We start from the raw sequence: 16,891 nt of genomic DNA on the forward strand, positions 1-16,891 counted from the left end.
CAGCACTTTGGGAGGCTGAGGAGGGTGGAGCACCTGAGATCAGGAATTCGAGACCAGCCTGACCAACAAAGTGAAACCCCATCTCTATAAAAATACAAAAATTAGCCAGGCGTGGTGACAGGCACCTGTAGTCCCAGCTACTCAGGAGGCTGAGACAGGAGATTTGCTTGAACCCAGGAGGCAGAGGCCGCAGTGAGCCAAGATCACGCCACTGCACTCCAGCCTGGGTGACGGAGCGAGACTGTCTCAAAAATAATAATAATAATAATAATAATAATAAGTTGCATAATGATCTCAGAAAAGGTAAGAGCGACATGTTCATATCCAAATATTCTTAATCACTAGTAGTCATGTGTCATTTTCTACCTGATTATGACTTCTCTAACAGGAATAATGGAGTCTACACACTTTGGGGATAATTATTATAATATATACAGTTTTATTCCTAATTTTATAGTCCAGACCCATAATCTCTTATCTACAATTTTGAGACCCAAAAACCTCAGAAACTGAAAGCTTATTCATATTTTTGTGGCAAATTTATCTGTCAGCAACACTCAACTTTCATGAGGCTATGTACAGTCTTTACTCATTCTATAGTGTGAGTGTTCATATACTTACAGAAATACCATTGTGTTTAATCAAACATTGATTCCATGCTATGTCAGACCCTTTTGATAGTGTTATGCTCCATATTCCTATCTGAAACTGGAAACGTTCTGAATTGTTTTTATTTTTTATTTTTATTTGAGACGGAGTTTCGCTCTTGTTGCCCAGGCTGGAGCGCAATGGCACGATCTCGGTTCACCACAACCTCTGCCTCCCGAGTTCAAGTGATTCTCCTGCCTCAGCGTCCCCAGTAGCTGGGATTACAGGCATGCGCCACCATGCCCGGCTAACTTTGTATTTTTAGTAGAGACAGGGTTTCTCCATGTTGGTCAGACTGGTCGCGAACTCCCGACCTCAGGTGATTCACACACCTCGGCCTCCCAAAGTGCTGGAATCGTAGGCGTGAGCCACTGCACCCGGCGGAAGAGTGCTGAATTCTAAAATCCTTCTAAGCCCTAAGAATTTGGGGTAAAGGATGATAGAATGAATGGCTGGCCGACTGAACTATGTATTCACTGGGCCTTATTCTGCTCTCTCTAGAACCGCACAGATAAATCCAATCCTTTGTTCCATGTAATAAATCTGATATTTAAGGTTCGCTATGAAGATTCTACCAGGTTTTCTATTGCCCTGACATAAACCCTTTGTCCTCTTCATTGTTCTGGAGTCTCTTGGACTTTTCTGATTCATTTAGCTTCCCGCTCACCCTGGGCCTCATCATCTGATAGTTCAGCTATGCCAGCACTGGTACTATGATTTATACAACAGATTACACCTCTCAACTTACCACTTCCCAAAGTTGGCAGGCCAGACCCTTCACACCTCTTGCTCTAGGAAAAATCTTCTAAGCTGGACAACTTCAAAATCAATGTTCCCCAACCTAAGTTAGATTCTCTAAGGAATGGATATCCTGAGACAAATCCTGGGAAGCATGAGGGGAATGGCAAGTCAAGAGCATTTTCATTCCAATTTCCATTTTCCTCTCTAATCGTTCCCCGTACTGCCACCTTCCACATTCTTCAAACTGTAAGCACCACTTCTGCATGCTTCACTACGAATGTATGACTTGTCCGCATACTTCCCTGAGGTCCTTCAGTATGTACTTATTAAGTGTCTATACTAGGCAGTGGAGTTGTGAATAAAACCAAATTCCTGCCCTGGTGGAGCTTACATTATAGAAGGGAGGTCCAGACCATCAATAAATATACAGCGAAGCTCCAAGGAAAAACAGAGCAGGGCAAAGAGAAGACAGCTATGGGAGGTGGTTTATTTTATATAAATTAGCCAGACAGTGCCTCTGAGAGGTGATGTCTAAGCAGGGACTCGGAGATGAGGGAATAAGCTAATGGATATCTGAAGAAAGAACCTTCCACATGGATGAAGCATCGCATGCAAAGCTCAAGGAAGGAGCATGTTTAGTCAAGTGCCTAAAGTGGCTGGAGCAGAGTGAGTGAGAGTTGAGAGGTAGAAGATGAATTCGGAGAGGGAGCATTGGGGCCAGACTATGTAGCCTAGTGGGCCAAGTGAGGTCAGGCCTTTAAGAAGGAGCGTATTGAGGAAGAACCATGCACACTACTGCTAGTGCTAGGGTGAGAAAGATGAGGACTGAGAACTGACCTGGATTTGGGATCTTGGGTGAATGAGTGACATCCGCAAGAGTAGTCTCTGTTGACTGGTTAGGGACAGATGTCTGATTAACTGGGAGCACAGGAAGCTGGGGCAGTGACTCTAGGTAACACGCTCTTGAGGCATTGGTATATGTAAAGGGTCACAATGGAAAGGAAAGCTAGCAGGAGGGCAAGGGAATTAGGGTTTTGTTTTTGTGTTTATTTTTGGTGCTGGGATAAACAGCGTATGTGTCACTGGGTAGAAATGATCCAGTAAAGGAAAAATTGTGAACTTTGTTCTCTCTTAATATGTGTGTTTCGTTGATTCATTCCTGACTTGTATCTCCCACATCTTATCCCTTAATTAAGCCATTCTTCCTCTTGCATAATTGCAAATTATTATGATATAAATAGCTTTGTTGTACTCTTTTATGAGTTTTACAGGGAGGAAATTGCATAAACTCTCTATAAAGTAATTTCTATGTTTAAAAGCCCTTAAGTTCTCCCGCCCCATAGCCTGACCAAAAAAGTCTTACTAAACAAAAATAGGATACAAATGATCCATACACATCATCCTGGCTAGAGAAGGGTCAGAAACTACAGTGTTGTTAGAACCAATAGAGCTTAACTTTATATCTCACTGGCTTTAATAAAAAACTTTTCTGAGCTATTTGACACAAAAATCACTAAGATTAAGAAAATATCTTAACACAGGTGGAAATAGTAAAAGGATGTTTGCATGAAAACCGTCAAATGTAATAAACAGCACTATTCTCTGATAATAAAAGATGAATCTGGCTGTCAGATGCAATTTTATAATAGCTTCGACCATCATGTACGGCAGGAGTATTTTTTTTTATTTACTATCGTTAAGTTTGTGGAACCAGTGATTGTTGTTTTACTATTTTGTTAAGGAAACCTAAAACATTCTTAGAATGTACAGAAAGAATATGGTCATTCTTATAGGACCAAAGGGCGTATCAAGTGAGCTGCTTTTGTAAATACCATGAAAATCCAAGTCTGACATGGAATTAAAATCATCTCTACTACAAGATGCAGAAAAAAACCAAACTCTTTTTTTTCTATATCAGAGACTTAAAAATATTAGTGATGACCAATGTGATTAGAAGCTTTAAAATCCTAACATTTATGTGAACAAAAATCTTCCTGTTTTCAGAGACTTAAGCATATCATCTGAGCATTGAAAAAAGCTCTTAATAGTACCTTTCAGATTTCTCATCTGTTTTCAGATCCCATATTAAACTCCTTGTGGAAGAATGAGAAAGAAAGCTACTCTAAATTTTACAGAATAGAATTCAGGCTCTTTATTTACAAAATGGAGTGTGAACCTTGCTGTTTACTCATCTACCCCCTCAAGCAATTGTGTTTTCCTTCCTTATCAGCACAGACCATCACAGTTCCAGGATTTGTCTGAGATGCTAGCCACCTCTGATTGCTATTCACTGGACACTCTTGTGATTGTGATTTAAGATTGTAGGCCAGGCGCAGTGGCTCACGCCTGTAATCCCAGCACTTTGGGAGGCTGAGGTGGGCGGATCACGAGGTCAGGAGTTTGAGACCAGCCTGGCTGATATGGTGAAACCCCATCCTACTAAAAATACAAATATTAGCTGGGTGTGGTGGCATGCACCTGTAGTTGCAGCTACTCAGGAGGCTGAGGCAGAAGAATCTCTTGAACCTGGGAGGTGGAAGTTGCAGTGAGCTGCTATCGTGCCACTGCACTCCAGCCTGGGTGACAGAACAAGACTCTGTCTCTAAAAAAAAAAAAAAAAAAAAAAAAAAAAAAAAAAAAAAGATTGTAGAGGAAGTATGCTAACTGTCCTTTCTTCTAGATTTTTCATTTTTAACCTCATATGAGATTAGATCACCAAAAACCTACATGGCATACTTGAAGTGTTTGTAAGCATTACTCTCCTCAGAAATGCTTTCACCAAGTTAAAGTTTCGTCTCAGTTTTCATTGAGGATTTGTGTGGGAAGGAAAAAATTGGCCATTGGAAAATGTCTGTGTCTTCTACATTTTCAGATTTATACTGACTACAATTCACATCCTTTATTTAGACAATCGTGTCAAAAATTCCTCCTAGAAATTAGAGTCAGGAGAATGTGGTGGTTGTTTTTTCTTCTCCGGATGAATCTTACATGCTTTTCTTTTTCAAAGATGAACGCTATAGCCCACTGTGTTTCCACGACTACTTTTGCTTGAAAAGAGTTCAAAATTTATCCAATTATTCAATAGAACTTCTCCTCTGTATTTGCTAAAAGACATGCATCCACTTCTCTAGTTCTCTTTTAAAATAATATCTTCAGTGTTGTAAAAGATTCAGTCTTTCAGAATCAAATGATTGTAGGCCAAGCGTGCTGGCTCGTGCCTGTAACACCAGCACTTTGAGAGGCCAAGGCGGGCATATCACCTGAGGTCAGGAGTTCGAGACCAGCCTGGGAAACATGGTGAAACGCCGTCTCTACTAAAAGTACAAAACTTAGCTGGGCGTGGTGGCAGGTGCCTGTAATCCCAGCTCCTTGGGAGGCTAAGGTACAAGAATCGCTTAAACCCCAGTGAGACAAGATCATGCCACTGCACTCCTGCCTGGGTGACAGAGCAAAACTCTGTCTCAAAAAACAGAAAAGACTCGAACGATTGTAAGTGAATAGAAACATAAATAAATAAAATACATGTAAATGAATATAATTAACATAAATATATAATGTATATATAATATGCATTAAATATAAATGCATATATTGATATAAGCAAGAAAGTAAAATATTAAAAACATTCTGAAAATCACGTATTTATTAAACAATATAAATATTGTTTTTGTTTGTTTAATTTTCCAAAATATTATGCTATGTTATGCTACCTCCAAACAGAGGTTTTCAACATGTTCTCCTGGGCAAACATTGTCACCATCACCTGGGGACTTGTTAGAATTATACATTCTTGAACTCCCACTCTGGGCCTGCTGATTATGGGGGTAGAAACCAGCAATCTGTGTTTCAACAAGCCTTTCAGGTGATTCCTACACACAGTGAAGTTTAAGAGCCACTGTTCTGGGTCTCATAATAAAAAGGTGCCTATAGTTCCAACCGCAAGCTCTCCGCTTACCTGCATTCCTGCCTTGCTATTTGCCTGCCTTCCTTCTTGCATCCTGTATTCCCGCTTTTTATCCTTCCTATGTGTGTGCATTGTGAGAGAAAATAGTGCAATGATGAAAGCGAACGCTCTGGAAGTACATGATGTGTGTCTGGACTTGAACTACTACAAGTCTGCCACAAATTAGTGTGTGATCCTGAACAGGTAATTTGGCCATTTTAAGTGTCAGTTTCATCATCTGTAAAAGTTGGACAACAACAATATCTACCTTAGGGGGTTACTGCGAAATTTAAAGGAGATGGTTATCTGTAAGCTCTCCTAGCTCTGCATTTGGCACATTATAAGGTCTTGGTGTTAGCTGCTATTGTGATGAGCCAGGTGCCGTGCTGGGCATGGAATAGAGAGAGAAAAGGCACTCTCTGCCTTCAGGGTGCTTACATTGCATTACATCTTTTAAGATGCTTCTTCTGTGGGTGCTCTCTAAAGGGAAATGGATATTGAACTTGGGAAATACATTGCAAGTCATCTATTCAAATCTACTTTCCACTGTAGGAATATCATTTTCATAGTAATAATGGCTAGACATTTAAGCCCATGATTTTGTCCCCTTTTTAGTGCTATTGTGATATGGAAAGAGTGCAGACTGTGGAGTTAACCACATCTGGGTTCTCTTCTTCATTCTTCTATCGCGTGACCTCAAGAGGCTCTCTGAGCCCCAGCCTGCTCATCTCTAAAATAGGATGGTGGCATCACTCATGTTTGGTCACAAGGTGGTCAAATGAGATGGTGCACATGATATGCCCACTGTCTCTGCACACCACTGCCCCACTGTAAATAGTCATTTTCTTCAAATAAAAAATCAACCCAGGCCTTTTTCTGGGTATCTGTGAATGCCAGGACAGCTTTCCCTGTTCTCAGATTAAAACAATATCTATATAAATTTTACCAGTTGATTATATTTCAACCTTCCTCAATGAGACACTCTTTAAAAAAGGAACATAACTGTATATAAAGTCAATCTGTTATCTTCCTTGAGCATGTTTGTTCATTGTAAATTCATCTAGGTATCCTCTCATGTAGCCATCATTTCTCTTTCTGGTCCACAGATATCCCATGAGAGAGTCTTTAAATGATTTTTTGGAATGAAAATATATTACATATATGTCTCCTAACCTAGGAGTTAGTGAGGCTAGGTTGACATGATTTCTTGCTGTATCCTTACAGTCTCCTAATGGTCATGTATTGAAGACATTAGTTCTTCTATAAGATAGAAGAAAACATAATGCCCTAAATATTTTATAACTTTAAATTTTATGTACATTCATTCAAACTAAATTGTTATTTACAGATGGAATTATAGCAGCAAGTCAGTAAACTCAAAGGTCAAGTCCAATAAAATCCTTAGTAGTTTACTCAAAATGTGAATTGGACATGCAGACACATTGCTGAAGAGTTCACCGGAAGAAGGAGGCAAAAAACAAGTGATTTCAATCTAAGCCTAGTTGTTTACCAGAATTTATCTCTGTGATTTTTTAAGCTTAATCGTCGTTTTACTGTGCATCATCATCCATTCATTTAGTCAGCTATTTTTTAAACATCTAGTGAATACTTGCTTGTGTGAGCTTTAATGTAATGCCCTGGAAATATAAAGATGACTATACATGACTCCTCAACTCAAGGATCTTACTATTTAGCACAGTAAAGACACAGATAAATAGTCAGAAGTCATCCTTAAAGTGAAAATCTGGGGGGGAAAGAAGTATGTGAAAGCTTAGAGGATTACGTAAATAAGCTTGCCTGGAGGGTCAGATATGTTTCCTATAGGAGGCTAATTTTGAGTGTAACCTGAAAGGCCTCATGGGAGAGCACAGGAAAAGGAAAAATGAGTAGGCAGTCCCAGGGGAACAGATTAGCAGAGACATCTCATAGGACTGGGAGGTGCTTCTGTATTGCTGGAGCCCAGGGAACATTACAGAGAATAAGGGGAGATTAGGTGAGTTGGAGCCAGTCTGCAAATGGCCTCGCAGACCTCGCTAAGGAACTTTAAACAATTTTTGCTTGGCAAATGAGTAAGTGGCTCAGATGATTCCCGTGTTTGTAAAGGATGGATAGATTTCACACATGGAGGCCAGTCTGCAGGGTATGGCACTGGTTCAGGGGACGTGAGAAGGCTTGAAAAACAGGGACAGTGGAATTAGAAAGGTTGAGACAGATTTTAACGTCATTACTGAAGAATGACAGAACTTGTTAACTCTTTGCGTATGCATAGAAGGGGTGGGGAAGAGGGAGAGAAAAGATTCAGAGGTTTATCAAGGAACTGGATGGATGGTTTTGAATGGTTATGCTCTTAACCAAGGCCCAGGTGGGTGAGAGGAAGGAGAATGTCCTCTAGGACCTAGAGCTTGGGAGAAAGGTCAAGGCTAGAGGATTGGATCTAAAAGTCTTCACCGCAGAAGTGGTAGTTAGAATTACAAAGTGGAAAATTCCTACAGATACTATGGAGGCCAGATTAGAGTCCTGGAGGGAAAGCATGACATTTGAAAGGAAGCTTAATAAATAAGCAACAGAAGAGATTAAGGAAACATGTCCAGAAAGATAGTTGGAAAACTCAGAAGTTCTCTGAAAACTGAAGGATAAGTGAGTTGTCAAGAATTAGGGACCAGTGGCCAGGCCTGGTGGCTCATGCCTATAATCCCAGGACTCTGGGAGGCTGAGGTGGGTGGATCATCTGAGGCCAGGAGTTCGAGACCAGCCTGGCCAACATGGTGAAGCCCCGTCTCTAGTTAAAACACAAAAATTAGCCAGGCATGGTGGGGCACGCCTGTGCTCCCAGCTACTCGGGAGGCTGAGGCATGAGAATCATTTGAACCTACGAGGCAGAGGTTGTAGTGAGCTGAGATCATGCTACTGTACTCCAGTCTGGGTGACAGAGGGATACTCCATTGAAAAAAAAAAATTAAAAATTAGGGATTAGGGACTAGTTAACCATTTCAGAATTGTTAGCATGGTGAAGAGTAAAGACTAGAAATCAACAAGTAGATTTGCCAGTTAAAGGAGGACTGGTGGCTTTTTGTGACTAAACACAGAAAGAGGCAGATGTGTGTGATGATTTGTATGTGTGTACAATTTATTTGTTTTGTTGGTTTAAAATGAGTGCACAGCAGCGTTCATCCACACCCATCATTACTAATCTATAGCCATTCTAAAATTATGGGGGAGAGTTCTTCATTTCTGAGGGAGCTCACCCATGAGTCACAGTGTTCTGCATCTTATAGAATCTTTGACAGTCATCAAAGAGATTCAGCCACCAGGGAATTAATTTGATTGGTCAAATATGTTTTCTTATGAGTAAATGATCCTCTCAGCTCTTTTCACCCACATATACCCGACAAAAAAATGGTTTCAGGAAACACAGATACACAGAATATCTGTGCATTAATTTTATGTTCATGGGAGGAATACATTTGTGGTTTTTGGAACATAAGTATAGATACTTATCTAATTGTCAAGGAGTCCTAGATTTTAGACTATGAATAGTCTGTAAAATTCGGCTCCTGTTGTTGATAAGAGTGGCTGGTTTGCTTCATGTGTTACTGTGAAGGGAAAGGAATACGATGTGTGTAAGGCATCCGTGCTGGCCCCGGACCCCCAGGGAGCTGGGGGCAGACCCCTCCAGACCCCACAGCATGATGTCCTACTTCTGCACTGTCCATTACTGAGCCACATTCCTGTAGTCCCTCCAGGGCTGACACTTGCATGAAGCAGCTCAAAGATGTTTTTAAAGCTTGATTTTCTTTGTGTTAGGAACTACTTTGTGCTCATTCGAGTTGTGATTCCTGATCATTTGGGGTGCAAGCGCAGTGTTTTCTCTGAGAAAGTCAGAGATTCTCAGTGATGAAATTTATAAATAGGTGCCTGAGGAAGCCTTGTAAGTTTTTTTCCTTTGAGATAATGATAAGTGACTTGGGGTTGATTTTGTTTCCAGTATATCTCAGGGGTTTTGTGGTTTTGTATGTGTGTATTTTAAGTCACTGAGGTTACAAAGGAGAGAACAGAGAGCTCGTAATAAACTTCACCAAATCACCTTTAATTCCAAAAGACATCGAATAAACTTCCCCAGATCACCTTAATTCCACAAGACATCTAATACTCACTTCTGTCTTTACCTGGAGAGAAAGACTCACAGCTCCTAAGCTGGCTTTTCTAACCAGCCTTTGTCTAGAATCTCCACCACCTCTCTCCTCCCCACACACTCCCTACCTTATGCCTCCCTCTGTGTGTGTGTGTGTGTGTGTGTGTGTGTGTGTGTGTGTGTGTGTGTGTGTGTGTGTCTGTCTTTCTCTTTTTTCTCTCCCTCTACTTTTGGGTAAAAAAGCTTTAAATTTCTTAGCAGACCTGATGGTGTTATGTTTTAGTAAAGAATATTGTGAACTGGTAGTAACGATCATTATATCTGCTTTTTGTTTACTGTTAGCAGATCCATCTCTGCTCTATCAGAACCTCAGACCTGTGACATCCCAGCTCCACAATGCACTTAACCTCTCCCATGCTGGGAGATTCCATAGGCGAACAGGGCTACTTCCAGCAAGCCGAGCTGCAGCCAGCAGGAAATGAAACCGTCTGCCACAGATACTTATTTAGACCAAGCTATTAATGTTTAGTGGCAGAAAAGTGGCTCCCTTTCTCATTCGATTGAATGATGAAAGCATGTCTGTTTCCCTGATAAGACTGTGGCCAGCTTGGCTTTCGGTCTGAAAGGTGGATGAAGATATTCTGTCTGCAGAGCGGGCTGCAGGGATGTCTGGTTTCTTTTCTCTGTATCTATGCCAGAGTGTATCTCCCTTCTTCATCTCACAAACCATTTTTAAACTTAATCACACTGAACTTTTGTATATGTTTGCCTGACAATAAATGGGTCTGGGGTTACGTAGGGAGAGTGTAGAGAAAAATACATCTTTATTAGGAGAGAAATGAGAAACTGCTGTCGTTGTTTAAAATAACCCTTAATGTAAATGAGCCCAGTTATAGTGAGGCCAAAATGGGAGAAACTTTTTGTTGGTTTTGAAAAATACCAAAATAAAAATAATAGGAATTTAAAACAAGTTTTAACAAATTCTGTAATGAAAAGTATTTTTTATTCTCTCACATATTCCTCTCTGATATTATAAAACTTAAAAATAGTCTAATTTTCCTAGACTCAAGTTTTTCTTTTCTTAAGAACTTACTTTTATGCTTAATGCCCTAACCAAATGAAGCTGTTACCACTTAGAATGTTTGCTTGTAAGGAGTAAAAATTTATATAGATGTTTCAAAATTTATTTAGCTTCTCTTTAAGTTACATTTACAACTTTATTTTTGGAAAATAAATTTATTATAAAGATTTTTTTAAAGGTAAATTTGAACTTAAGTTTTAATAAGTAAAGATGTTTTATATTCATATGGTCATTTTTGCCCAAGACCTAGAAAACAGCTTCAACTGAGGAATAACCTTATAGTCATATTCCTCACCAAATGCTTCACACCTCCCAGGGGTAGTTCTCTGTAGCATCACAAACTCTGTCATTACCAATCAACAATTTCACACTTTTTTTACCTTGATAAGCTTGAATTTCAGGTTTTATATTCATTCCAGCATTACTCTATCTTTATGGGAACCTGTTGAATAAGCCAGTTGGAGGATGCAATAGCTTAGAATCTTATATTCTTTGAAATGTGGAGCCGCGATTCCCTGCCTATCTGTAAGTCAGCCTTTGGGGCTTCCCTAACCTTCTCTAGGTGCGACTGTGAACAATGAAGTATGTGGGAGCTGGGGGCTGGGGAGAAGCCTGCGACAACTGAAATTACTGCCTGTAAGTCCAGGAACTCCATTCGTTTTGTTAGAAACAAACTCGGAGTCCTACTGCTCTCATTAATTAGCTTAGTCATCTGGATTTCTCTAGAGAAGACAGAGATTGTGAAAAGGAAATAGAGTTTCTGCTTAAGGTAGGCATGCTGGCTCTATCAAGAAGTGATCACAGCCTATCATCCTAAGAAGAAACAGAAGACATAATAAGTACAAACAAAACCGGCAAAGTACAGTGTTGGGTCAGGGACTGGGCAGACTGCCTTACATATCTCAGGAGGCCTTAGTCCTTAGGAAGGGGGCCCTGTATTACAGCACATTACAACAGTGAAGTGTCCAATGATGAACATGGGCCATCAACTAAAAGTTAAATCGTTCCTTTTTTTTTTTTTTTGAGACAGAGTCTCACTCTATTGCCCAGGCTGGAGTGCAATGGCATGATCTCGGCTCACTGCAACCTCCGCCTCCCAGATTCAAGCAATTCTCCAGCCTCCGGGTAGCTGGGATTACAGGCACCCACCACCACGCCTGGCTAATTTTTGTATTTTTAGTAGAGATGGGGTTTCACCATGTTGGCCAGGCTGGTCTCAAACTCCTGACCTTGTGATCCACCCTCCTCAGCCTCCCAAAGTGCTGGGATTATAGGCGTGAGCCACCACACCAGGCCTTCCATTTCTTTAAGAGAGAGAAAAGTTTAATTTGTTTCAAGAAAGACTATTCAAAATTGGTTATACAAAGATAGTACCGTAAAGGGGGCAAGTTTCCATTATCTGGGAATTACACATTCATTGATTAATCTCACTGTTTCTGAGCATTGCTAGAAGGAAAGTTTGCTTCGAGATGAAATTTATTTTACTCACATTGGACTTACCTTTGAAATTTATTCAGCGTAGTTTTGTTTCTGAAGTTTCATAGACAATAAAAGATATTGTAAAATATTAAAATAAACATCAAGTTTTATAGCCATTATCTACCATTTAGTGTCCATCTCTTCCATCTAAAAGATAATGCTACATTTCCTGTTTTCTAGTCTCTGCTTTCTGTGTTGTTTGATTTTTTTTCCCCAAAGTCACTAAAAGTGATGAATGAAGTTTCTTTTCATTATCATATGGTTTGGTTTTGCTCATATTTTCCTTCTGTTATCTGGATTGCTAATTAGAAGTTGCAACTGTTAAAATGAGCCTATCACAGATGTCATCTTAAAATTTTTACTTCCCTTTTTAGTTCTCTAATAGGGTGAAATCTTGATTCACAAATGCCCTGGGTAGTCCCCCTTTGTGTGAATGCATCCACTAAAATATATATATATGTGTGTGTGTGTGTGTGTGTGTGTGTATTCACACACACACATATATACATATGCACACACACATATACATATGCACACACACATATACATATGCACACACACATATATACATATGCACACACACATATATACGTATATATATCTCTTCATGAATCATGCACAGAGCTGTGTCTCTGAACAGCATCCATAGACCCCCACCAGGATTAGAAGTTAAACTCAAGTGCAGACACAGTTTGGAAGCCTTTTGACCATCTTCAGCCCCGCTCTGGTTTCCTCTCTCAGGACACACTTCCCTCTTCATGGTGATTGCGTTCTCACTCTATCAATGAGGTATTGTCCCTCTTTTTACTTTCTCCTCCTTCCCAAACAGGACATATTGGTCATTTTAATTTATTGTTTGAAATGTTATCTCCACCATGCCTTTTCACTAAAAGCCTTTCAAGTCTGGTTGTGACATGACCATCTTTTTTCTACTTAGTTAAGAAATGTTAGGCATCACTGAATGAGGAGTGAGGCAGGAGAGAAAGTGGATGGAACACGTACAAACAGTTACTCAATAGACTCAGAGTGGCAGCTGATGAAATCTGCCACCGTAAACCAAATGGAGAGCCCAAGTAGGAAGATCGAATGTTGGCAGCTGGCTCAGGCTGTCTTCGTACCGACTTCTCCCTCATTATTTTTCTTATTTCTGCCAACTCTGGCAACATAGTCGACCTCCAGGGACACATTCTTTTTTCCTGCCGAAAGTGTGGAAAAATGTCTTGTTGTCAGAGTTTTGTTGAAATAAAATTGGCTTTTGGAAGCAGCAACATTTGCTGGGAAGCTTAGGAGGAGTGAGACTCAGGAGCAAGTTGATGTGGTTTGGGTTTGCAATCTGGTACAAGAGTGGGAACTGAGGAAGTGTCGTTGTTTTGGGGGTCTGGCAGCACCGCTGGGGCTTCAGGGAGTGTTAATGCCTCAGTTCCAGGGCACCGTTTCTCAGGGTGGTCCTTACAGGCCACCTACACCAGATTCTGCCAGATGCTACTTCTGAAAGCATCCTAGAGTGACTAAATCAGAATACCTAAGAATAGGCCTAGAGAGCTGCATTTTAACAAATTCTCCATGAATCTCCTGCTCCGAAATTAGAAGAGGAACTATATTCAAGGTTCTGGGGCTCAGTTTTCCAGCTGCCCAGGTCATTTATGTGTGCATAACTAGAGGCGCTTAGAGTGAGGTGACTGACTCATCCTAGTCACACACATAAGAAACCGAGGCATAAACCTGAAAACCAGTTGGAACTCTTGCCTCCATACAGGAATCCTATGGCAGCAGAAAGGAGAACTGTTCATAGTTCTTGAAGCTCAGTTTGCTGTTTCTTGACTCTTACTCAACCTTTATATGTTATTCTTTCATGTTCAATCCATTTTCCTTTTCCAAGAGAAGTATAAACGATTAAGATGTGCCTGTTAAACAAGGCTCGGCAGTCGCTTACTCCAGAAAGATCTCTGTAAACCCAGCCTTCCCACCCAGGATCCTCCTCCAGGACACAGTTGTACCTTATACGAACCTGGGTGGTTGCTCTTAATGCAACATTGTCATTTACTTGCTCATGAGTATCTCTCTCCTACTAGACATTGAATTTCATTGTCCCTATAATGTTGAGCTGTGCCTAGTGCTGGACCTCGAGCTAATGCTTCAGAAATGACTGAAAAATGAATGGATGAGCTGAAAGATCTTGTGAGGCCTCCGATGCACATTCTCCTCAGTTTTTGTGGTCTCTGCCATAAGGAATGACTGGATGTTTTTGTGTAAAATTAAAAATGTTTGTATTAGACTCGGTTTCCTGTGATCCTTACAAAAATGTGTTTTGAGAAAAAAATAAATAGGATTGGGAGAAAATTAAGATGCTTTGAGGATCTAAATACTTGTAAAGTACATTTTATTGGAATGCCACAAAATGCTTTAAAAAGCTCCAAGTAAATTTAAGAGGAGATCCACTGGATTTTGACTAAGTGCTGAAAAAAAAAAAAAAAACAGTTTCCTTAATTCCCTATCCAAATACTTCAACTTAAATTTACTGGTAGCTGTTTCAGAGGGAGATGGGGATGCTGCAATCCTTAGTTTGTTATAAAGAAAATGTTTTTATCTTCAAATGTTTAGAGGAAGGATTAAAGGCAATTTATGGCTTGGGTGAAAAGTAATAAAAGTGGTAACAATGAAGTATCTTCTAAGTTGTCATCATTTTCTGGAATTGCTAACAATATCAACCAGGCAGGCATTTTATATCTGAAAGGAGTTACTTTCATTTGTCATGCTTTAATATAAACTATAACATCAATCTTATAGCTGCAATACTGAGTTGTTTGTTTGATTCTATTGTTTAAAAAGAGGAATTGATTTAGTTGTAAAGGAGATGAATTCTGTCATTAGATTTTTTGCCACAGGGATCAAGAAATATATTTATAATTCACTTCTTTCAGGAAATTAGGCTATAAGGTCTATATGAAATGCATTTTATTAAGACCAAGCCACAGCCTCTTTGGTTTCTCCAGAAATAATTCATTTTTAATTCCCAAGGAAAAGTCACAGTAATAAAAAATAAATTTTACCTGTTAGATTATTTTCCTTGTCATAGCTCCCCTTTTTATTAAAAAAAAAAAATCCAATTTACAGATTTCTTACTATTTGTTTAATTAAAACAATAATAAATTTTATAGCCTTTTACAATGCATAAAGAACTTTTTAAATAAAATTTTACTCCGTCTTTGCAACTCTGTGCAGTGATAATGAAGATAATTTAATATATAATGGAAACTTTTCACTCTGTGAGGGAATAGGGAGGTTCAGGGGTACAAGAACATTACCGGTGTCAAATAGCAGAGCCAGAACTTCATACAGGACTTTGCTCCAAATAGCATCTTCTTTTAACTATACCTCTGGTCAGTTCAATGTTGTTTTCCTTGTCATATATGCTTAACAAGAAATACTAGAAACATTAAAATGTTATTACTGCTCACTCTCTTTTTTGTTATCAAATGATTGGTTCCCATGCTAGATGAAGCTCAGTTTTTAGAAACTGCTCAAGTATTTATTGCAAGTGATTTGTATGCATGAGTGTGTGTGGTATAGGAAGTTAATCTGAAATAATTTTAAGTAAGCATGGCATGTAAATTTTCTTTTTTTTTTTTTTGAGACGGAGTCTCGCTCTGTCACCCAGGCTGGAGTGCAGTGGCACAAGTGCAGTGGTGCCATCTCGGCTCACTGCAAGCTCAGCCTCTTGGGTTCACACCATTCTCCTGCCTCAACCTCCGAGTACCTGAGACTATAGGCACCCGCCACCACACCCAGCTAATTTTTTTTGTATTTTTAGTAGAGATGGGATTTCACCGTGTTAGCCAGGATGGTCTCGATCTCCTGACCTTGTGATCCACCTGCCTCAGTCTCCCAAACTGCTGGGATTACAGGCATGAGCCACCGCGCCCAGCCGGCATGTAAATTTTTATGTGACACTTTTTTTTTGGTGGGGGGTGGCAGGGGAGAGGGTCTCACTGTTGCCCAGGCTAGAGTGCAGAGGTGCTGATCACAGCTCACTGCAGGGCACGCACCACCATGCCCGGCTAAGTTTTTGTATTTTTTGTGGAGTCAGGGTCTCACTCTGTTGCCCATGCTGGTCTGGAACTCCTGGGCTCAAGCAATTCACCCGCCTTGGCATCCCAAAGTGCTGGGATTGCAGGCATGAGCTACTCCGCCCTGGCTGTGATACTCTTTAATTATTCTAATGCTTCTAACTTACGTCATGGTGCCAATCCTATTTATATAATAGAATCAATCTCATACTCTCAGCTGACAATGAGGGGTATTTCATTTTTTACTTGTATATAAGATTCCTTTTATATAGGATGAAATGCATACACACTCTGCATAGAAATTCTTATGTGTTTGTATATTACTCCATTCAATCATACTATGATTCCAAGTTAAGAACTCCTAGATAAATTAGCGTCTGTAGCTGTAACAGTTGAGGCTTTCAATTCAAATGTCAGATAACATTCTTCTGTGTATTGTATTATTTTCTGCAGTAATTCAAATCTTTATTGAGTTGAGGTTTGCTCACTTACTATAAGGTAGAATGAGGTGATCTAAGTAGGTTTTGTTTAAATACATGTGTCTTCTCCCCATCAGAGTAAAAGAAGCCGAAGAGGTGTGTAGACAGAAGAAAGGAAAATCACTTTATAAAATAAAACCAAGACATGACTCTGGAATTGTAAGTATTACTGATTTTTAACTTGTTATTTTCTTTGGCTTTTAAATCCTATTTTCATAATATATACAAACTCATAATATTTTAATTATTTTTCTACTAAGTGTGAATAAATAAGGAGCTTCTGACTTCAAGAATCTCCTTTTTCTTATGCCTTTAATCAGG

The 16,891-nt window shown here is 39.7% G+C and overlaps 1 protein-coding gene across 5 annotated transcripts in view; it reads left to right on the top strand.

The window, feature by feature from the left end:
• The window catches only part of FMN2 (formin 2), a 383,305-nt gene that overhangs the window by 363,842 nt on the left and 2,572 nt on the right, over window positions 1-16,891 (top strand). For all 5 annotated transcript variants that reach the window (NM_001305424.2, NM_020066.5, NM_001348094.2 and 2 more), the window contains one exon: window positions 16,648-16,729. In NM_001305424.2, the coding sequence (NP_001292353.1) occupies window positions 16,648-16,729 (82 nt within the window). The remainder of the gene's footprint in view (window positions 1-16,647; window positions 16,730-16,891) is intronic.

The sequence above is a fragment of the Homo sapiens genome, chromosome 1 (genome assembly GCF_000001405.40).
Source record: "Homo sapiens chromosome 1, GRCh38.p14 Primary Assembly".
In the NCBI taxonomy this organism is placed as follows: Eukaryota; Metazoa; Chordata; class Mammalia; order Primates; family Hominidae; genus Homo; species Homo sapiens.